General features: G+C 41.1%; 1 protein-coding gene across 3 annotated transcripts in view; it reads right to left on the bottom strand.

The window, feature by feature from the left end:
- The window catches only part of PGM5 (phosphoglucomutase 5), a 174451-nt gene that overhangs the window by 102346 nt on the left and 53098 nt on the right, over positions 1–19007 (bottom strand). The gene's annotated exons all lie outside the window — the stretch shown is intronic.

Raw genomic sequence — 19007 nt, 5'->3', positions numbered from 1 at the left:
AGAACCAACATTAAGACATGAGAAGCACAGAGCAGAGTGTTCTCCAACAGGCACTCCTGGAAATCCTGATCCCATGCAGAATCACAAACCTCAGATATATATTTCCATACTCCTGACAGGCTATTAGCTTGCAGCTGAAACACAAGATGTGATCTTGGCTCAGGGGAAACAGGCATTAGGATGCCTACCTCAGAGCCAGTTAACAGAGGCAAAGAAAAAACAGACACAGGCGCTTTTGAAATAGGAACTGAAATGAAAAAGTTTGAATTTGCTCATCAATACAAATTTGGGATAATGAAACCATCTACAGGTAGCCAAAAAATAAACACCTCGCAAACCTCTAACTATATGTGCACATATGAAATTGCCTCCAATATCCCATGCAACACAACAGTGCTAGAGCCGTCTCCCTGGGGACATTTGAAACTCGCAAATCATTAATGTTTCTATCTGACACCCAGAAACAGTGCTCAGTCCCAGCGATGACCATTGACTAAGTGACAGGCTTGGGCACATAATACTTTTCTGGTCAAATTAAAACAAATTATAAATATTACCAAACTGAGTTTCATCTGTTTATAAGTTCAAGTGTGTTTATTTGTTCTAAACTGAACATATGGTTGTACCACAATGGATAGCCATAAAGTGTATAAATTTTTAGCCAAATTTGGAGAGCTCTTTACAGAGCATTATAAAAGGAAAGCCACAACATTCTAACTCATAAAGAGAACTCCAAGTCTTTACTCAACAGTGCAGTGTTCAACATAAAACAACCTAGGGTCTCAGAAACTTGTCAGTGTTCTCTGTGAGTTTCCACAGAGAACAATAACAAGAAATTTAGAGCAGAGCTGCCTCTTTGACAATCTCTGCCCACAGAGTTCAAGCTAAGCCAGCACTACCAGAGGCATCATGGAAAACCTAGGATTGGTTTTCATCCAGCCTTAAGTAAATTACACAGACTTCCAAGGAACTAGTTGCAAGACAGCCCAGAGTCTGAGGCCAAGGAAAACTTTCTACATCCCCTTGCAGAACTATTTGCTCAATTTCTGCACCCTTTATCAAATTTTCCAGCAATAGGCAAATGGAAAGCATATAATGTTTAGACACATTCATTTATACACAAGTGAAAAGCCCAGAATCAGATCTTTCCTGAGTTGGCCAGAGACCCCACCCTCCCCAGCATTCATGCCCACAGCAGGTGGCCTTATGATGCTGGATAGGATCAAACAGGGATTTTCTGCTCCAGAGGGGATTTGGAAACCCTCCCTAACCCTGCTGGGTCAAGGAACTCTGTTCTCACATCCTGGCTCAGACAACAGAGCTTGAGGTTCTTTGACACAGGATATGGTTGTCAAATAACATTGCAGAGGCCCCTTCTGTCACCTCCATCTCTGTAACAAGATCTGTGTTACAGAATGACTGATATTAAGGGGTAGATGATTAAAATATTTAGGCATAGCAAGGGCCTTCCCTGCAATCACATTACATGGGCCAAGGTCAACTCCACTCTTGGACCCCTTCTCAAGGAATTCTCAGATTCAAGACTAAGCTCTTCCACTGCCAGGGGGGCTCTGCTTGCTAGGCTGATGAGGCCACCTGTGTCACATTTGCCTCTCTGTCTCCAGTTTCTAGCACCAGTGCCTGACATTGTTAAAAACTCTTTGATGAATGAATGCTTTGGCAAGTCAGGTGACCATAAGGAGCCTATCATGTATTAGGCATCTGCTCTGTTTAGCTCCATTGATTAATCACTTACCGAGTTCTTGTGACAAGCCAGGCCATGCTAGGATGCCAACATGATTAAGGCACAATCTTGTCCTGAAGGGCCTTGCAGTCTAGGGGAGGCCTCACAGGCCAGTGGTTCTGAAAGAGCCTGAAAATGGAAATATGGCCACCAAATGTAGATTCTGAATCTTTCTGGCTGACTTCAAGAAGGCATTTGAGTGCTCTGTGACTTTCTAGGAAAGTTACCAAGGGAAAGATATTTGGATGAAGTGAAAAGCTCAAAAGACAGGTTAGTTAAAAAAATGGTCATTCACTTTGACTCCACAACCTCCCTTCTGGAACTAGTCCCAGAGAAATTGGCCAAAAAAAAAAAAAAATAATAAAGAGAGAAAGACAAAAGCCTGAATGTACAAAGATGTTTATTACTGCACTATTATAATAGGGAACAACTGTAAACCATTTAAATGTCCATCAATAGGGAAAGGGCTAGTAAATTATGGCACAACTATAACATTAGATATGAAAAGTGGAACACAAATGTGTATAGGGTCCTGTGATTGAAACCATATATACATATGAACAAAGATCAGAAATGTGTTAAAAACAATTATATGTATGTGTAAGAAATCTGAAGGTTATAAGAGTCTTTTATATATTTTCCTCACTGGATACTCACAATAATCCTGGAAAATAGGCAGTATGATTGTGACATCCTCTTTTTTTTTTTTTTAAATACATGAGGAATTGGGATTTAGGAAGATAAGTGACTTGTCCAAGTTCAGAGTAGAAAATTTAAACACAAGAAAGACATCTCACCCCAAATTCCTCCTTTCCATTATACTCTCTGCCTCTGGGGAATGAAAATAGTTGCTGGGCAACTTCTGCAAGTTTTTAATCATGGACATAATTTTTAAATTTCAAGTGCTTTTGATAGTAAAGTCAGCTTAAAAAATATATAGCTAAAGCAGCATAAAGAGGTTTTACACACCAAATATCAACAACCACTACCACTATAAAAATCTTAGCTGAGAAGTCAGAAAGTATCGCTCTTTTTTTAAATCTAAAACTAAAAGGATGTGAAATGTGAAATCTAGTGTACTTTCGATACAAATTTATTTCCATTTAAATTATAGAAAACCACTTTGGGCATCTCTTAGTGCTTTTTGTGTCCTGAGTTTACTTACAATGAAAGTCAAGACTCTGCATCATTAATCAGTAAAATTTAACAAATTATCATACTGTTTGGCCAATGAACACAATTGATTCAAGATGATTTCTCTTCCACATGCCAAGAAAAAAAACAATGAACAAATAAACACCATTTACCCAGAATATTTAGCATGTGACCTATTCTGGATTAAAAATATTTCTAAAATGTAGGTATCTCAACTCCAAAATAGGATAATGCTTAGGATAGGATTTGATCCAAACTCAACTCCTCTTGGAGTGCTCTCTTGGGTTTTTTTCTCCATTATGTACATTAAGGAATATAAGATAAGATATATATTTATGAAATTTCAAGTCAATCTTCTCTAATGTACATAAACAATGGAAAGTCTCCACATCCCTCCATCACCAGCAATAGCTCCTGGGAATCTCCTCTACTCTAATCCTTACCACTCTCGACCCCTTTCATGGTGGATTGGACAACCAGATGGGATGCTTTCACTGTGGGCCCTGCCTGCCATCTTTTGAAAACAATTCAGCAGCTTGGATGCTTCTGCCATGTCATCAAGTGAGTTGCCTCTCCTGCGTTCCTCTTGCTCTTTTTTTCCTCACTCCTGTAGAACTTTTGATAACTCTGGCTTGTTCCTAAACTTGTGTTTTTGCTTGCCAAGGAACAGTAAAAGAGAAAGAGGTGACTTATACTAGAAAGAGCATACAGAAAAGCCCTCAAAAAAGATGATCTCCCATTATAATTATCTAACTGTTTATTTCAAATAAGAAACTTTTAAAACAATGAATAACAAATGAAGAGCTAGAGGATTATACCAAATTTGTCTTAGTAGAAATTTGTTTAATCATATAATTATATGAATTTCAGAGAAAGGAAGAAGGAGGTCAATTTTGGACCTCAGAAGACAGGTCTAACTAATAAGGGCAACTTGAAGTCATGGTGTCTGGTTTTGCAAGCGTTCTTTAAAATCAAACAGTGCAACCTCCCACTAGTCCCCTAAGAGACATTAATAGGTACACCTGGGATGGTAGTTCATTGGTCAAATATGTTTGGGAAATGCTACATTCTGTAGTCCTTACTGGAGAATCACAACAATCTGTCAAAAGCTATGAAAAGTGAAGAAGTTAAGAAACTTGCTTTATATTTATTTCATCCTTTTCCAAATTTATTTTGTCCATGGAACCCTTCTGCCTTGTTTAAGAACACCCATTAACATTTCTTGTGAGTAGTGCTATAGCTTTGGTTGACCCAAAATTCACATGTTGAAATCTAGTTATCAATAATATGATTTTAGGAGGTGGGACCTTTTGGGGGTGATTAGATCCCAAGGGCAGATCCCTTGTGAATGAGATTAGAGCCCTTATAAAAGAAGCCCCTGAGAGCTGCCTTGCCCCTTCCACCATGTGAGGACACAGCAAGAAGAAACCATGTATAAACCAGGAAGCCAGGCCCTCACCAGACACCCAACACACCAGCTCCTTGATTTTGGACTTCTCAGCTTTCAGTACTGTGAGAAATAAATTTCTGTTGTTCATAAGCCACACTGTCTGTGTTATTTTGTGACAGCAGCTGGAACAGACTAAGACAAAGGGTGTTCCATGAAACACTTTGTGGGAAATGCAAAGTTGAGTCTTTTCTACACTAAACAACATCTCAGGCTTTTTCAGCAGCTCTTCATAGGAAACTTTTCCAGATGCTTTACCTTCCTCGTTCATCATGAGGTCTGAGGCTTGCGGAGGGCAGATATGCATAGAGAGGAGAGAGGAGTTCTGAGATGAAGTTAGAAGAAAATTGGCCACAGACTATGTCTACTTATTTTGTCAAGAGATACAGCAGTAGTGAATTGGGTGGGTTTGGAAGTAAAACTCAGCCTCCTCAAATTCAGCCCAGTCTTCCCCATTTAGGTACATTCTGTTTCTCTAATACTGTTCTGTTTTCTTGTCCACTTCCTGCTCCTTCCATTGCAAGGAGGAAAGGAGGGGAGGGAATGGAGTTACGTGTATGCGTGACCACACTTTTCCCATGCAGAGGAACATGGTGTAGTATTTGAGGGATGTCTCTGACTATTTATGGAATTGCAAAGGGTCTTCAAGGGCCTCAGCCCCCAAAAGAAAGAGAGAAAGAGGGAGGCAGAGAGAGAGAGAGAGAGAGAGAGAGACAGAGAGAGAGAGAGAGAGAGAGAGATTTTGTGCTCTTGGGGTTATTTCCCAAAGGCTGCCATTCCAGGGGAAGAGAAACAACCTGATTGAACCTAATGTCAGCTCTGCATGCCATTCTCAACACCAAGCTCTTCAGTCCTGCTCCTCAGAGCACTCTCCCTTCAAAGGTGCCTCACCACCATTTACTCTTTCAAATTCAGGTTCTTGTGTGTTCTTTTAAATTTTCGCCCTTGCAGAATGGCCATAATCCAAAAATAAAAAAATATAGTAGATGTTGGTGTGGATGCGGTGAACAGGGAACACTTCTATACTGCTGGTGGGAATGTAAACTAGTACAACCACTATGGAAAACAGTGTGGAGATTCCTTAAAGAACTAAAAGTAGAACTACCATTTGATCCAGCAATCCCACTACTGGGTGTCCACTCAGAGGAAAAGAAGTCATTATACGAAAAAGATACTTGCACATGCATGTTTATAGCAGCACAATTCACAATAGGAAAAACATGGAACCAACCCAAATGCCCATCAATCAACGAGTGGATAAAGAAACTGTGGTATATATATACAATGGAATACTACTCAGCCATAAAAAGGAATGAATTAATGGCATTTGCAGGGACCTGGATGAGACTGGAGACTATTACTCTAAGTGAAGTAATTCAGGAATGGGAAACCAAACATGGTATATTCTCACTCCTAAGTGGGAGCTAAGCTATGAGGATGCAAAGGCATAAGAATGACACAATGGACTTTGGGGACACGGGGGAAAGGGTGGGAAGGGGATGAGAGACAGAAGACTACAAATAGCATGCACTGTGTACTGCTCAGGTGATGGGTGCACCAAAATCTCACAAATCACCACTAAAGAACTTACTCATGTAACCAAACACCACCTGTTTCCCAATAACCTATGGGAAAAAAATTTTTTTAATTATGCCTTTGCAGACTGCTTTTATCACATTACTTATTTTCTTATTGTTGTGCTAATTAATTTATTTTAATTACCTCATCAACAATATGCCTTCTTACTTTTCTAGATGAATGGGGAAGAAAGTACACCGGGCCCGGCTAGGTGGCTCACACCTATAATTCCAGAATTTTGGGAGGCTGAGGCAGGAGGATCACTTGAGCCTAGGAGTTTGAGACCATCCTGGGCAACATAGTGAAACCCCTCTCAAAAAAACAAAAAACAAAACAAAACAAAAAACAAAACAAAACAAAAAACCACCACACAAGGAGTGACTCTTGAGGGTCAGTTTTGTTACCAAGAGGTAGGGGATGGGGACATTAGCCCCAACAGTAATCTCCTTCAGCTCCTCCCAATAATATAACTCAACATGAATAAAAACTGAGTGTTTGCTATGCAAATGGAGTTCCCAGGCAAACCCCCCATATAGATAGTTTTGAGCCAATCAATGCTACTAAATGTTTTTTCAGGTCAATAAATTATTATTTTATTGTTGAGATTGTTCCTCCTACTTGGCTACTTGGTCTATCAAAAGTTAGGAAAATTACAGTAAGGTCTCTTAATATATAGCTTCTAAATTTTTTTTTTTACATTTAAAAATTATTTATTTATATATTCTGATGCTGTCATTCAATACATAAATATTTATGATAGTTATTTAAAATAAATAAAAGTGATCTTCATTGCTTTAACATTTTATTACCTTGATTTTTGCTTTTTTCTCTTCATTTTTTATATATTTGCCTAATTTTTAATTTTAAACCATTTTGAATCACATTTTTTAGACATATCTCTTATAAACAGTATAAAGTTAGATTCTACATTATCTTTCTTCTCTACAAATTGTACTATGCATGTCTTAATCTAGTATCCATCTACAAAGTAAGCATCTGGAATCAGTCAGGGGCCAGTCAGGAAAGCAGAATCAGCTCTAAGTATTTCTGTTTTGTTTTGTTTTGCTTTGTTTTTGAGACGGAGTCTCACTCTGTCACCCAGGCTGGAGTACAGTGGTATGATCTCCGCTCACTGCAACCTCCGCCTCCCGGGTTCAAGTGATTCTCCTGCCTCAGCCTCCCGAATAGCTGGGATTACAGGCACGCACCACCATGCCTGACTAATTTTTGTATTTTTAGTAAAGACAGGTTTCTCCATGTTGGCCAGGCTGGTCTTGAACTCCTGACCTCAGGTGATCTGCCTCCCTCAGCCTCCCCAAATGCTGAGATTACCAGCGTGAGCCACCATGCCTGGCCAGCTCTAAGTATTTCAAACAGAAGGAATTTAATATGGAGAATCCGTTGCCCATAAGATGGAAGAGCTCAGACACCAAACAGAAGAGAGACCATCTATAGATAAACAACATCAGGAAACTGCTGTAGCCTCTGAGGCTGGAGCCACCCAACAGGACCCAGCCAGCCACCAGGGGTGAGAGAAGAAGCAGGCCCTAGGCAGAGGCCTATGCAGTGGAACTCCTGGAGATACAGGGCCGATTAGGGGAAGATCAGTGAACGGGGCAGAGTGCAAATGTGAAAATGATCAGTACACACCTCGTCTCCCCTTTGTAACACTATGTACCCTGACATGGACATGTGCACCTACATGTCCACGTGTGCATATGCACACATATACTCATCACACATTATTCGTCGACCTAGCTTTCATCAGCTTTTCCTTTCAGATAAGAAACCATCCATGGACAAAGCATACATCCCAAGTTACATCTATGATCATCATAACACCTTACACTTTATAACACTTCACTGACCCAAAGCACATTCAAAACCATCTGTGCATTTTTATTTTAGCTTTCATAACCACCACATGAGGCAATTGAGGCATTTACATCTTCATTTTATAAACAAGGAAATTTGGAGAGATTAAGGTATCCAAATAATGCATCAAAGAGTCAGGTATGACATCCCAGATTCCTCAAGCACCAAGACCAGGCTCTATGTTGTGTCTCCCGACGAACATCTGAAGGTCATGGGTGTGCACAGTAAGATCTATAGGCTCTAAGGTACCACATCTGGCCATAGATTAATAAACAAGGCTATACTAAACTAATTGCTGGCAATAGTCAGCCTCTCAATTCTTTATACTTCATATAACCCATTTTAAGAAAATGTCATCACAATGATCATTTGTATAGTACGTGACAGTTTACCATGTGCCTCCGTATTTCCACATTTGATGTAATATTCCTAAAATACAGCATGCTAAATACCCATATCTAACTGGCATGCATTGTGAGCGAATAAGCTCAAGGTCAGTGGAGCCATTTTTACAGTCCTCATAGATAATATGAACCTTGCATCCTACTTCATGAATTCAAAGGGGTCAGTTTCCTTCAGTTGTACTCAAGATCACAAGCAGAGAATTTTTCTTCAGATGTGACCTACTTCTGACTACTCCTCCAACCCACAGAATCACAGATGACAAAGCAGCTCTGACTCTGTCTTTGAGCCACACCAAGCCTCAGAGGTTTGCTGCTGGGAGGAACATAACTCTAGGGTCTTCGGAGCCCCCAGAGGGAGAGCTGAGCTGAGACTGCCATCAATACAGCAGGAATGGCTGAGCCCATTAAATAGCAGGAATTCCTCTAGGTGTACGTTTTCAGCTTGATGATACCTTGATTTGGTGTGCAAGCAGTGACAGGTCCAAACACTGGGGTCAAGACATTTTCCATGCACTTGAAAAGCTTCCTTAAGTGAGACTACAGATCAAAGGCAGCTACGCCATTTGGTAGGGAGCATTCAAAGCCTGATGGGAATCTGATTTTAACAGACAGTCTTCCAGCAGCATTAACACTCTGTAGAATGGAGATGAGGGGGATATCTCAACAATGTGAGGCTCTAACAGAATTCTGTCAAGAGGGGAAAAGGCCATCCACTGCAAAAGAGGCACAAATCCTGCCCTAGATGTTACACTGAAAATTCTTTGATTTCTACCACAAAATTATTCTGTCTTGGCTCTGAGATAACTGACATTGCCAGACTGGGGGCATTTAAATGCTAAGTAAAGACAGCAATAGATGCTGGTTACCAGGGAATGCTTCTAAGCAAAGCTAAGTCTCTGAGAGGATCAGCAGAGGAATTGTGGAGCCATCCTAGTCCTACTTTCTTTCCCCGGACCCCTAAAGTATGGCTTCTTCTGCCTCAGTTTTAAAATGCCCCAGCTCGGTCTGAAGCAGTACCTACTCTGATCATGGCCAAATCCTCCCCACAACCAATTCCTCCCAACCAGGATGCCCTTCTTTTCTAGACACCTGACTGGTGGAAATGGAGGGGGAGAAGCAAAGATAAGGGCTGGGAGCTCAGCATTAAACCTATTTGTGTTTTGCTGTTTTGCCCATAAAATGGCCAGTGATGGAGACCCCATATATTCATTGAAAATTGCCAGCAGTCTTAGAACTTTAAAACTTGGTGGAAAAAAAAAGTTAAAACATATTATCTTCTATTCATCTTCTTTCTTAGACAACAAAATCTACACATCATGGTGCCTGTATCTTACTCCTAATTAAAAATTAATAATCAGCTATGGAATTGAGATCAATTGTGTGTTACATTTAATCAAAGGTATTTCACCAGATTTCTTTGATCTGATTTTTCTGTTGAGATTTTAAAGCAGAGGTTTATTTCCACCTATACTTTGGGGCAGGGGCGCACCTTGTAAAGTATTAAGTAAAAGTTCCAGCCATTTTGAAACGGGCCACCTGATCTTTACCACATTCTCTTTTTCAGCCGACTATAAAGCTCGCATAAGCCTGGTTCCTCCTGCGGTATCATTTTACCCTCTGAACTTCATCTCCCAACACCTCCTTACTCTCTCTGACTCTGACACCCCAAGCAAGAGGCCATGGGGTGCTAGAGGGGGTTTAGGCTGGTGACCCGGCAGGGGTTCCCAGGAGAAGGAGAAAGCGGGCTTGACAAGGGAGCTGTTCATCTCCCACCCCCGCCGCAGCCAGCTGATAAGACCCCCAGGGCTCAGAGGGCATTCAGAAGGAGCCATCACAGGCGCAGAAACCACAGCGCAGCCAGTCAAGTCGTCCTGCCAAACAGCAGGCCGCAGCAAGGTGAGAAACACAGGGGAAGGCTGCAGCAGCAGCTGCAGCATCGGAGATTTCTTCTGCTTGAACACAAAGCATCCTTTCTCCTGTCGCCTTTTCAGTTTAGGACAAGCTATCAGTAACAGAGTCTGATTTCCAAAGCACTTCTCTCTCACACCCTCAATGCAGCAGGGTGTTAACTAAAAGGTCTGCAGGCTAAAAATAATACCACTTGTCTGTAAAGCTGAGCGCAGGAACAGAGTCAGGTTCTGAACTCAGATACCTTGTCTAAGCCAAAGTAGAATGGGAGGTGACAGAAACCCCATGGGGCTAATTCCCAGAGGATCCCTTCCTAAGTCCACAGAGTAAATACAACAACATTCTAGTTGATTTGCCCAGTGAAATGGGACACTTTTGTGGGCAGGCTGATATGACTCCTAAGCTCAAGACACCTTTAGTCAAATTCAACAAACAAAATGGAATCACGCCAGCAGGTGACTATAGGAAGACATATGGGGATGTGATATAGTGAAGGACAAAGTGGAGAGAATGGCCCTTGGTGGCCCCCAAAGCAGCTCAGCCTCTTGTCAGGGGAGAAACAGCAAAACAAGAGAGAGATCAAAGACAGAAGAATTAAGTTCGCTGCTCCCTGGTGGTATCAGAGAGAGCTTTGGCAATTGTGCATCTCAATTGAAGTGTAAGGCACACAGGGAACAGTTACTGCCAGAGGTTTCCATAACACAGAAAGTGAAATCAAAGTAGCCCAAGAAACCAGAGACAGGGGAGAGACATGGTCCAACTGAGGCAGAGCTAGAAAGCTTTACCTGACTTCCTCCAAGGTCTAGCATCAGATCCCAAGAAATCTGGGTGGCCGCATAGAACAATCTTTCAAGACAGGCAGGAAAAGGAGTAAGGCCTCAGCGGCTATAGCTGAAGCAAATAAGTTTTGAAGACAGGAGTTGCCCCAGAATTGTGTCGCATTTATATGCTTTCTTGTCTCTTCCTGCTTGATGAGGTGTGTAATGTACTAATCTCCAACATTAATTTTACTTCTCAATATACTTTGGGGTTAAAAATGCCTATCCTATATTTTGAATATCACCCTGAATGATGGAAATGAAAGGATACGCAGCTCAATGTTCCATGACATGGATCATCCAGGATAATTGATCAAAAATTTCCACTAATGAAGATACAACACAAGCATTTCACACGTCCCCCGGGCCCAGGGGAAGTACAGCTCAAGATCTCCTAGATTTGACAGGGATCTAGGGGGCAGTAAAGAGCTTCTTGGGGCTAATCACATATGCTTCTCAGCAGGATCAGCCTGAAAGCTGAAGGCATAACCCATTGTCAATGAAGGGACCTCCAAACATGGCTCTGTTATTATGTCTCACTGTATTTTGACAAGGAAACCCTGTTTCATGGGACCTTCTGCAAAACCTAACTTAAAAATTGTGCCTACTTTACCTAGCTGTGCTGCAGATGGTCCTAAAGATACCAGTAGGCCCGTATCCGATTCAGAGAGTGTTTGTCTTATCAGCATGGAGAACTTAGCAGCTGGATGGTGAACTCGTTGAACATAGGCTGGCCAGTCTTCACACCTCCCGTTGGTATTTGATCTTGGCTTTCCAGCCAACCTACTGAACCCCGTTAGGAAAAAAAATCTGTCAACATTCAGAGCTGAAGAGGAAATAGCATTTTTGAGATAAAATTTTCTTTGTAGCAGATGTATATTTTATTAGCTTTATCAGTGTCTTTTCTCAATAGAGTTCCACAGCAGTAGGCTGTAAAATAACAAAATCACACATAATCACAAAAGCTAGAATCACCTCTTTGAGGTTGCCTGCTTAAAGAGACCAAACAGAAAGCCCGAGAATTGAGCACATTTCTGAGATATTCTGCTGCAATTGTGTAAGATTTGTCTGCAAGCCTTAATTTTCTCATTACCTACTTTTTATAAGTGAGGCACAAATAATTGGAACTGCTTATATAGGGAAAATTGTTGAGGCTTTAAAATGTCTCAACGCCAAATGAGAAGAAAGAGAATACATATTCTTTAGTCTTAATTTGGTTCCCCAGGAGTAAACTTGAATCCTGAAAGAAGAATTCAAACTCACATAGTTTATTTTGTAGGGAGGAAGGGAATGAAGAGAACACAGGTAGGGAAGAAGAGAAATAAGACAAGGAAGAGAAGAAAATTAATAAAGATAGGCTTCTCAAGCCAATTACCACAGTAGGCAACTGAAACTTAATCCTGCATGAGCACGCTAGGGGCCCATGAAAAACACATGCCTCAGGGTCCCCCAAGGGTTAAAGGAGCTGACGTATTTATACACCAACATCATCATGCACTACTGCCGGAATCCCAACAGAGCCATCCATCACTTCTTAGATGGACTCCCTTTGGCTCAAAGCACTTCACCTAGTATTTACTTTTCTCTTACTATTTCATCTTTTTTTGTGGATGACAGGAAATCACTGGCTAACCAATAATCAGATAAGCAGAGCATTTGTGGAAGGAATTCCTCACTCTACATCTTCTCATGAGCATGGTTAATTTATCTCAGATCTGATAGCAATTCCACTTACTTAGAATTTGGATGTCATTCAGTACACACCAGGCCACAACTGAACTGGACAGCCCCTTTTAAATTTCAACAATACTAACATCTCTCACAATAGTTTCTAGCTCCCAGAAAACATAATTTCTATTCTGAAAGAGGATGGGATTAATTCAATTAATTTCAATTCAACAAAATGTACCTATGTATTTATGTATGCTATAGCTAAAATACCATTAGTGTGTGTAGATGATAGATAGATAAGATAGATAGATAGATAGATAGATAGATAGATAGATATTCCCTGCCTTAACAAATTTATAATCAAGAGTTGAAGTAGAAATGTATAAAAATACTATAAAACAAGGCATATTACAATTACTCAAAGCATAAATAAACAAGGTGCTATGCACCATTAAGGAGAGAGCAATAAATTCCAACCAGGTGAAAATGAAGGAAATTTCATTTCCTTCAGAAATGACATGAATTTGAGTTATGTCTAAGTAAAGTTGGCTCCTGTCCCTAACTGCAAGCTCCCTACCTGTGGTCAAGGTCATGGCTTCAGCTGTCCACATTTCTGTGTCCATGTTCCAGGGGATTCCTCCAGGTTCCAGGCTGTGCTTTGAATCCCCTTGACTGTAGTCAGGTGTCCCCATTGTCAGCCCTGAGGCTCTTCCCTGAATTCCCCTGCTGGCCTCTGCCCTGCTGGATCCTGCCAGCCTTTGGCTTCAGGGTCTCCCTGCTCACTGCCTCTCAGAACAACCACCTCAGTTCCTCTCTCTGAGAGGTGTGGGCAGATCCCACACTGCCCAGAGCTCTGCCCAGTTCTCTAGGTCTTCAGACTTTGACCTGGCCCAGGTTTTTCATCTGCATATGAGGAGCAACTGGACACCGGACAGTGGTAGGCCTTGAATGACCAGAAAGTAAATGGACAGGAAGCCAGACAGACTTTGCATGGAATGTGGAAAAGTCCAGAGAAGAATTGGCTCCTTATGACATGAAGAATGAATGAGGTCCCAGCACATAACATGGTGCCTTCTTTTCCCCAGTCCCCTGGCTACTCTTCCAGCAGCATTACCATTGGTATACTTATGTGTACCTCAGTGACCCTTCAACTAATGCTTCATAATGATCATGACTGTCAGTCTCTTCATGTACCTCAATAACTTGTGCCTCACACCCTTCTACTGATGGCCGTCCACTGCCTTTCAATTTTTCTTTCTGTACACTAGGCAAATTCTGATTCTCTAAACCTTCTATTCAACCTTCAATGCACTCTTCAAATACCTCCTCTTCTCTGAAGCCTTTTTTGCCCAGCATCCTCCAATCTTAGGCAAAACTGATTCGTCCCTTCTTCGTACCACCAGTGTACCTTAACCATTATTTCTGTAACTGGTTTACTTGTCTATATGTCTTCTTGGGCAATGAGATTCTCCAAAGCAGAGATGTGCCTTATCATTTCCTCGTGCACCTCCTCTCTGTACTGGGCACAGTATCTGGCCCAGAGCAGTGTGGTCACCAGCCTGCCCAGGGCAGAGGAGGTTCGTAAAGAGAAAGGAGGGTTGTTCACAGTGGGGAGACTGACAGCGGGAGCACATGTGCATTCAGGTCATTAGGTAGGAAGCAGGAAGATGAAATGACAAAGTAGCCAATAGCATATCCTTTCATTGTCTTTTATTTGAACCCATTGCCAGAATCAAGAACAAAGAACCTGGAAGCTCCTGGATTTATCTCACCTGGTAGTCTGAGTGGACTCCAGTGATAGGGTGTCTTAGTCCATTTTGTGTGGCTATAAAGGAATACCTGAGGCTGGGTAATTTATTAAGAAAAGAGGTCTATTTAGCTCATGGTTCTGCGGGCTATACGGGAAGCCTGGTGCCAGCATCTGCTCAGCTTCTGGTGAGGCCCTCAGGCTGTGTCCACTCATGGTAGAAGGTGAAGGAGAGCTGGCATGTGCAGAGATCACATGGAGAGAGAGGAAGCAAGAAGGTGGGGAGATACCAGCTCTTTGTGACAACCAGCTCTCATGGGAACTGAGTAAGAACTCACCTCCAAGAGACACAATTAATTTATTCATGAGGGATCTGTCCTCATCTCATGATCCAAACACCTCCCATTAGGCCCCACCTTCAATACTGGGAATCATATTTCAACATGAGGTTTGGAGAGGACAAACACCCAAACCATAGCATATAGCCTTTGCAATTTCTTTTAATTGATTGATCTACCCTACACCAGAATGGGTGAAAAAGGACCTTATTTTTTCTGTATATGGCTGTGTTGTTTTGTTAAGAGATGAGTTCCTGCATCAGGACATCATGGGCACTAGCATTTCAAAAATAGTGGAGGCAATAACCTAAGCTCAGTGGCATGAATCCACACTTCACATTTTATTAGCAGTGTAATAATTTTCTAAAAGATTAGTATCACAGATGCACTGATATAAGAATGCTTTGAATTCTTTGAGTTCTCCAGAGGCATATTTTAAGTGTCAGATACAAACTTTACTTTTCCAAATAATGAAAACCAAGGCAGTTTTCCTGAAGGTAAGAGCATCTTTAATTAATTCTAGGTAAGTGATTCTGAAAGTTAGCCAGAAAAGGCAGGTATACCTTAGGGGTAGTGGATAATCTCCAAGGTTTGGTGAGTACTTGCGTGTGTGAGTCTGTGTGTTTGCATAGCTGTTTCTGAAAATATTTGGGAAACCCTTGGGGAGAATTTCCCTCCATTGAGAGTCACCATCACTGGGAGCCTTTCTTACCCAGGAGAGAGGATATGGAGGCAGAATTTAGGGTGAGAACTGTTACACTCGTAATTGAGGCCCTGAATGGAAATGTGCTGAGAAAGAAAAACATAAAGAGAAAGACATAGAAAGAAATGAAGATAGCCAGACAGGTATAGAAGGAACATGACTCCCTTTAAATAGAGAAACAGCCACATGATACTCTCAAGTAATGCTGCTTTGTTATGTCCATATTTTGACCCATTGTGGTACCTGTCCAAATAGCCCTGATTTCGGGCCAAGCCCTGCCTTGATAAATGGAACTCACACAGTAACAACAGGTTTCCTACCACATCAATCTTGTTGATGTTGGAGCAAATTAAAGCAGATGTTTCCTGTCAACTGTGAATCTCTTCCCAAAGAACACATCAGCATCCTCAACCTCTTCAAGCCACACAAAAGACCAAGGACCTCCATGCAACTGGATTTCTCCTTAACCGCACCATTCTATTTATTAGGTCCATTATCTCTAAACAATTAACATGCTCTGGAATACTGTGTTCCAGAATGTGTATATAAATGGAACATAGCACATGGCCCTATAAAAGAAAGAAACTGTTAAGAAAATGGTCCCTTTAGCCAATTAGAGGAAATATAATTTCTGACACAGGGCCGCTATGGCCAGCTGGATACTGATGCATAAAGATACCTAACCGTTTGTAGCAGAGCAGGAGGTGGGACCCAGAGTGTGAGCCCTGAGATGATCTAGAAATTCCTGTGCAGATGGATCCATCAACGAAGGGTGATTTCATCCATTAAGGAAAACCAAGCTGCTTGTGAAGAAAATTTGACAACTGTTCGACAGTGCTTTTCCCTCATTTAGGAAGTAGGGAACACTGAGTAAATGGGAATGTAGGAAATATTAGCATGTGATATTTATCAGAATAAGACCAGAAATGTCTTTGTAAACTTCATGACTCTCAGATACCATGAAGCATCATGTGTAAGGTTCACTTTCAGCTGCCAGTAATGTTATGTTTAGAGACAGCATTTTCTTCAATAAGCAATTCAGCAAAGTTGAAGATTTAAATAAAGGAAGAAAAATAATGCAGACTACATTATAAAGTAATAATAGCAGGTAATAGTCACTGAGTGCTTCTTCTATGCTAATTACTTTACATTTATTATCCCATTCAAGTTTGCATGACAATCAGACAAGAAGCAGATTAGAAAAGAGAAAGCATTCTGTAGCAAACCATTCATTGTGAGTAACAAAGTGCTATGTATGGTGTTAGAGAGCCTGGGCTTTGAATTTACAAAGACCTGCTGAAGTCCAGCAAACACCACTACTAGCTGTAATGTAGGGAAGCTACCTTTTCTGCTCACCACATTGATCAACTACTATAGTCAAAGCACTACACTCAGACTAAAAAATAAAAACAAAGAAGTTGTGGTCCCTGTTCTCAGGGAGCTCATTTAAGTGCTCCCCATGAGCAACATTCATAATCTAAGAGAAGAAAGCTTTATTACAGCCACAAGTTCCGATTCCCCAGGCCAATATAAGTGGTTTCCTCTAAGCATCCTCATTGCCTCTATTGTGGCATTCCATGCATTGTTTTGTAAATGTTGCTGAGGATATCTGACTCTGTCACTAAATCATAAAATGTTTTTTGACAGTAAGCATGAATTTCATTATTCGTACACTATCTGACCCAGAGAAGGTTTTCAATAAATGTTTATTGATAAGCAAGTGAGTAAGTTGTAATAAGCAAGGGACATCCAAAAGTAATGACATTTTCAGGGAAATATCCATAATTCTAGAATTCTAGATTGTCCTTAAATATTGGGAAAATCATATATATATATATACACACACACACACACACACATTATATATTTAATACACACACTACATATATGTGTATATATATACACACATGTATGTGTGTATATATGTGTGTGTATATATATATTTATATATACTTTTTAAAGAGATAGGGTCGCTGTATGTCTCTATGTTGCCCAGGGTGGTCTTGAACTCCTGGGCTCAAGCAATCCTCCAGCCTCAGCCTCTGGGGTAGTTGGGACTACAGGCACACCCGGCTAATGGGCAAATAACCTATGAATGAATTAGAGGTGTTGACAGTTGCCTACCCAAAATCATTCCCACTGCTTTTCATATTAAGAGAATCATGACTTTATTCAGGTACCTAGTCCTCAGCAAAGGTGAATTTACACAAAATAGGACAAATATGGCACAGGAGGACTTCTGGAAAAGTTTCCCTGACTTTAAAAAGACACATAAACAGTAGGCAGTCTTTTTTCTGCCATAAGACCACATCGTATGTGAGGGTAATAGCTTGCACTGCTGGGGCCTTTCCATGAGGAAATCTCATCAAGGTCAAAGACCACATCCTGAGAATGATAGAACCTGGTTCCTTGAAGACATTGCTGAGGCAATGAATTACCCACCTCTGCTGCTGCCCTTTCTAGACATTTTAATACGAGATGTAACTTTTTCCTTGTTGTTTATGTCATTTGGAATTCAGTTTTTGTTACTTGCAACAGAGAGCCACATTGCTTCCCAAAAACCTTGTTCCCAATCTTTGTGGCTATATCATGACTCCATAGGTAAGACCTGGTTTGGCCTCAGAGGTTTGCCCACTCTGAGCATCAATTTACTTATTTGTAAAATGGGAAAAATACTTTTCTTATTGGGTTGTAAATTGTCATATCCTACACCCTGGAGTATTTTCTCTGGTAGATATTCCTCCTCTCCTCCTCCTCCTCCTCCTCCTCATCATCATCCTCATCACCATCATCAAAAATATCATCATGATAGTTTATGTCAGCATCCTAAATTATTTAGTCTAAAGAAAAAAATTAACGATCAAATATTAAAGATATTTTACATCTTTGAAGACTGCAATATTCTACACTGAATGTTTAGGACATCATCTAAACCCACAGTACAGACAGCTAGTTGTCCCTCTATAACTCTCATCCCCTTCTATCTTAATAAGACAACCCCTCATTTTTAGCCATGCTCGTGGCCATTCAGAATGAAGACTCCCATTTCACAACTTCCCTTGGAGCTATGTGTGGCCACATCATTAAGTCCTGGCCTATAGGATATATGCAAAAGTGTCAACTATCCACTTCCATGAATCTCCTTAAAAGATAGTGTAGTCCTTTGCCCTTCTTCTTCATCCTCTCTCTAGTTGCTGCCTAAATATGGGCATGGTGGCCGGAGCTCCCACTGCCTGGAACCCTGAGGACAAGGGCTGCATCCTACTAGGGAGGCAGAGCTATGAGCTAGACGCAATGTGGCCCCTGGGGGCTCTTTGCAGAACAGCCACTATCCCAGCCCTTCTAGATGGGGAAAGCGAGGCCCTGAGAAGTGATGAGAATCAATGGCGAAGTCAGATGTACCACCTCAGTCACACACTCACATTTTTTTGCTTTGTTCTTTTTTTTTTTTTTTTATACTTTAAGTTTTAGGGTACATATGCACATTGTGCAGGTTAGTTACATATGTATACATGTGCCATGCTGGTGGGCTGCACCCACTAACTCGTCATCTAGCATTAGGTATATCTCCCAATGCTATCCCTCCCCCCTCCCCCCACCCCACAACAGTCCCCAGAGT

The sequence above is a fragment of the Homo sapiens genome, chromosome 9, assembly GCF_000001405.40.
Source record: "Homo sapiens chromosome 9, GRCh38.p14 Primary Assembly".
Classification (NCBI taxonomy): domain Eukaryota; kingdom Metazoa; phylum Chordata; class Mammalia; order Primates; family Hominidae; genus Homo; species Homo sapiens.
The sequence above is the reverse complement of the archived record's forward strand: the minus strand, read 5'-3'. Positions and strand labels throughout refer to the sequence as shown.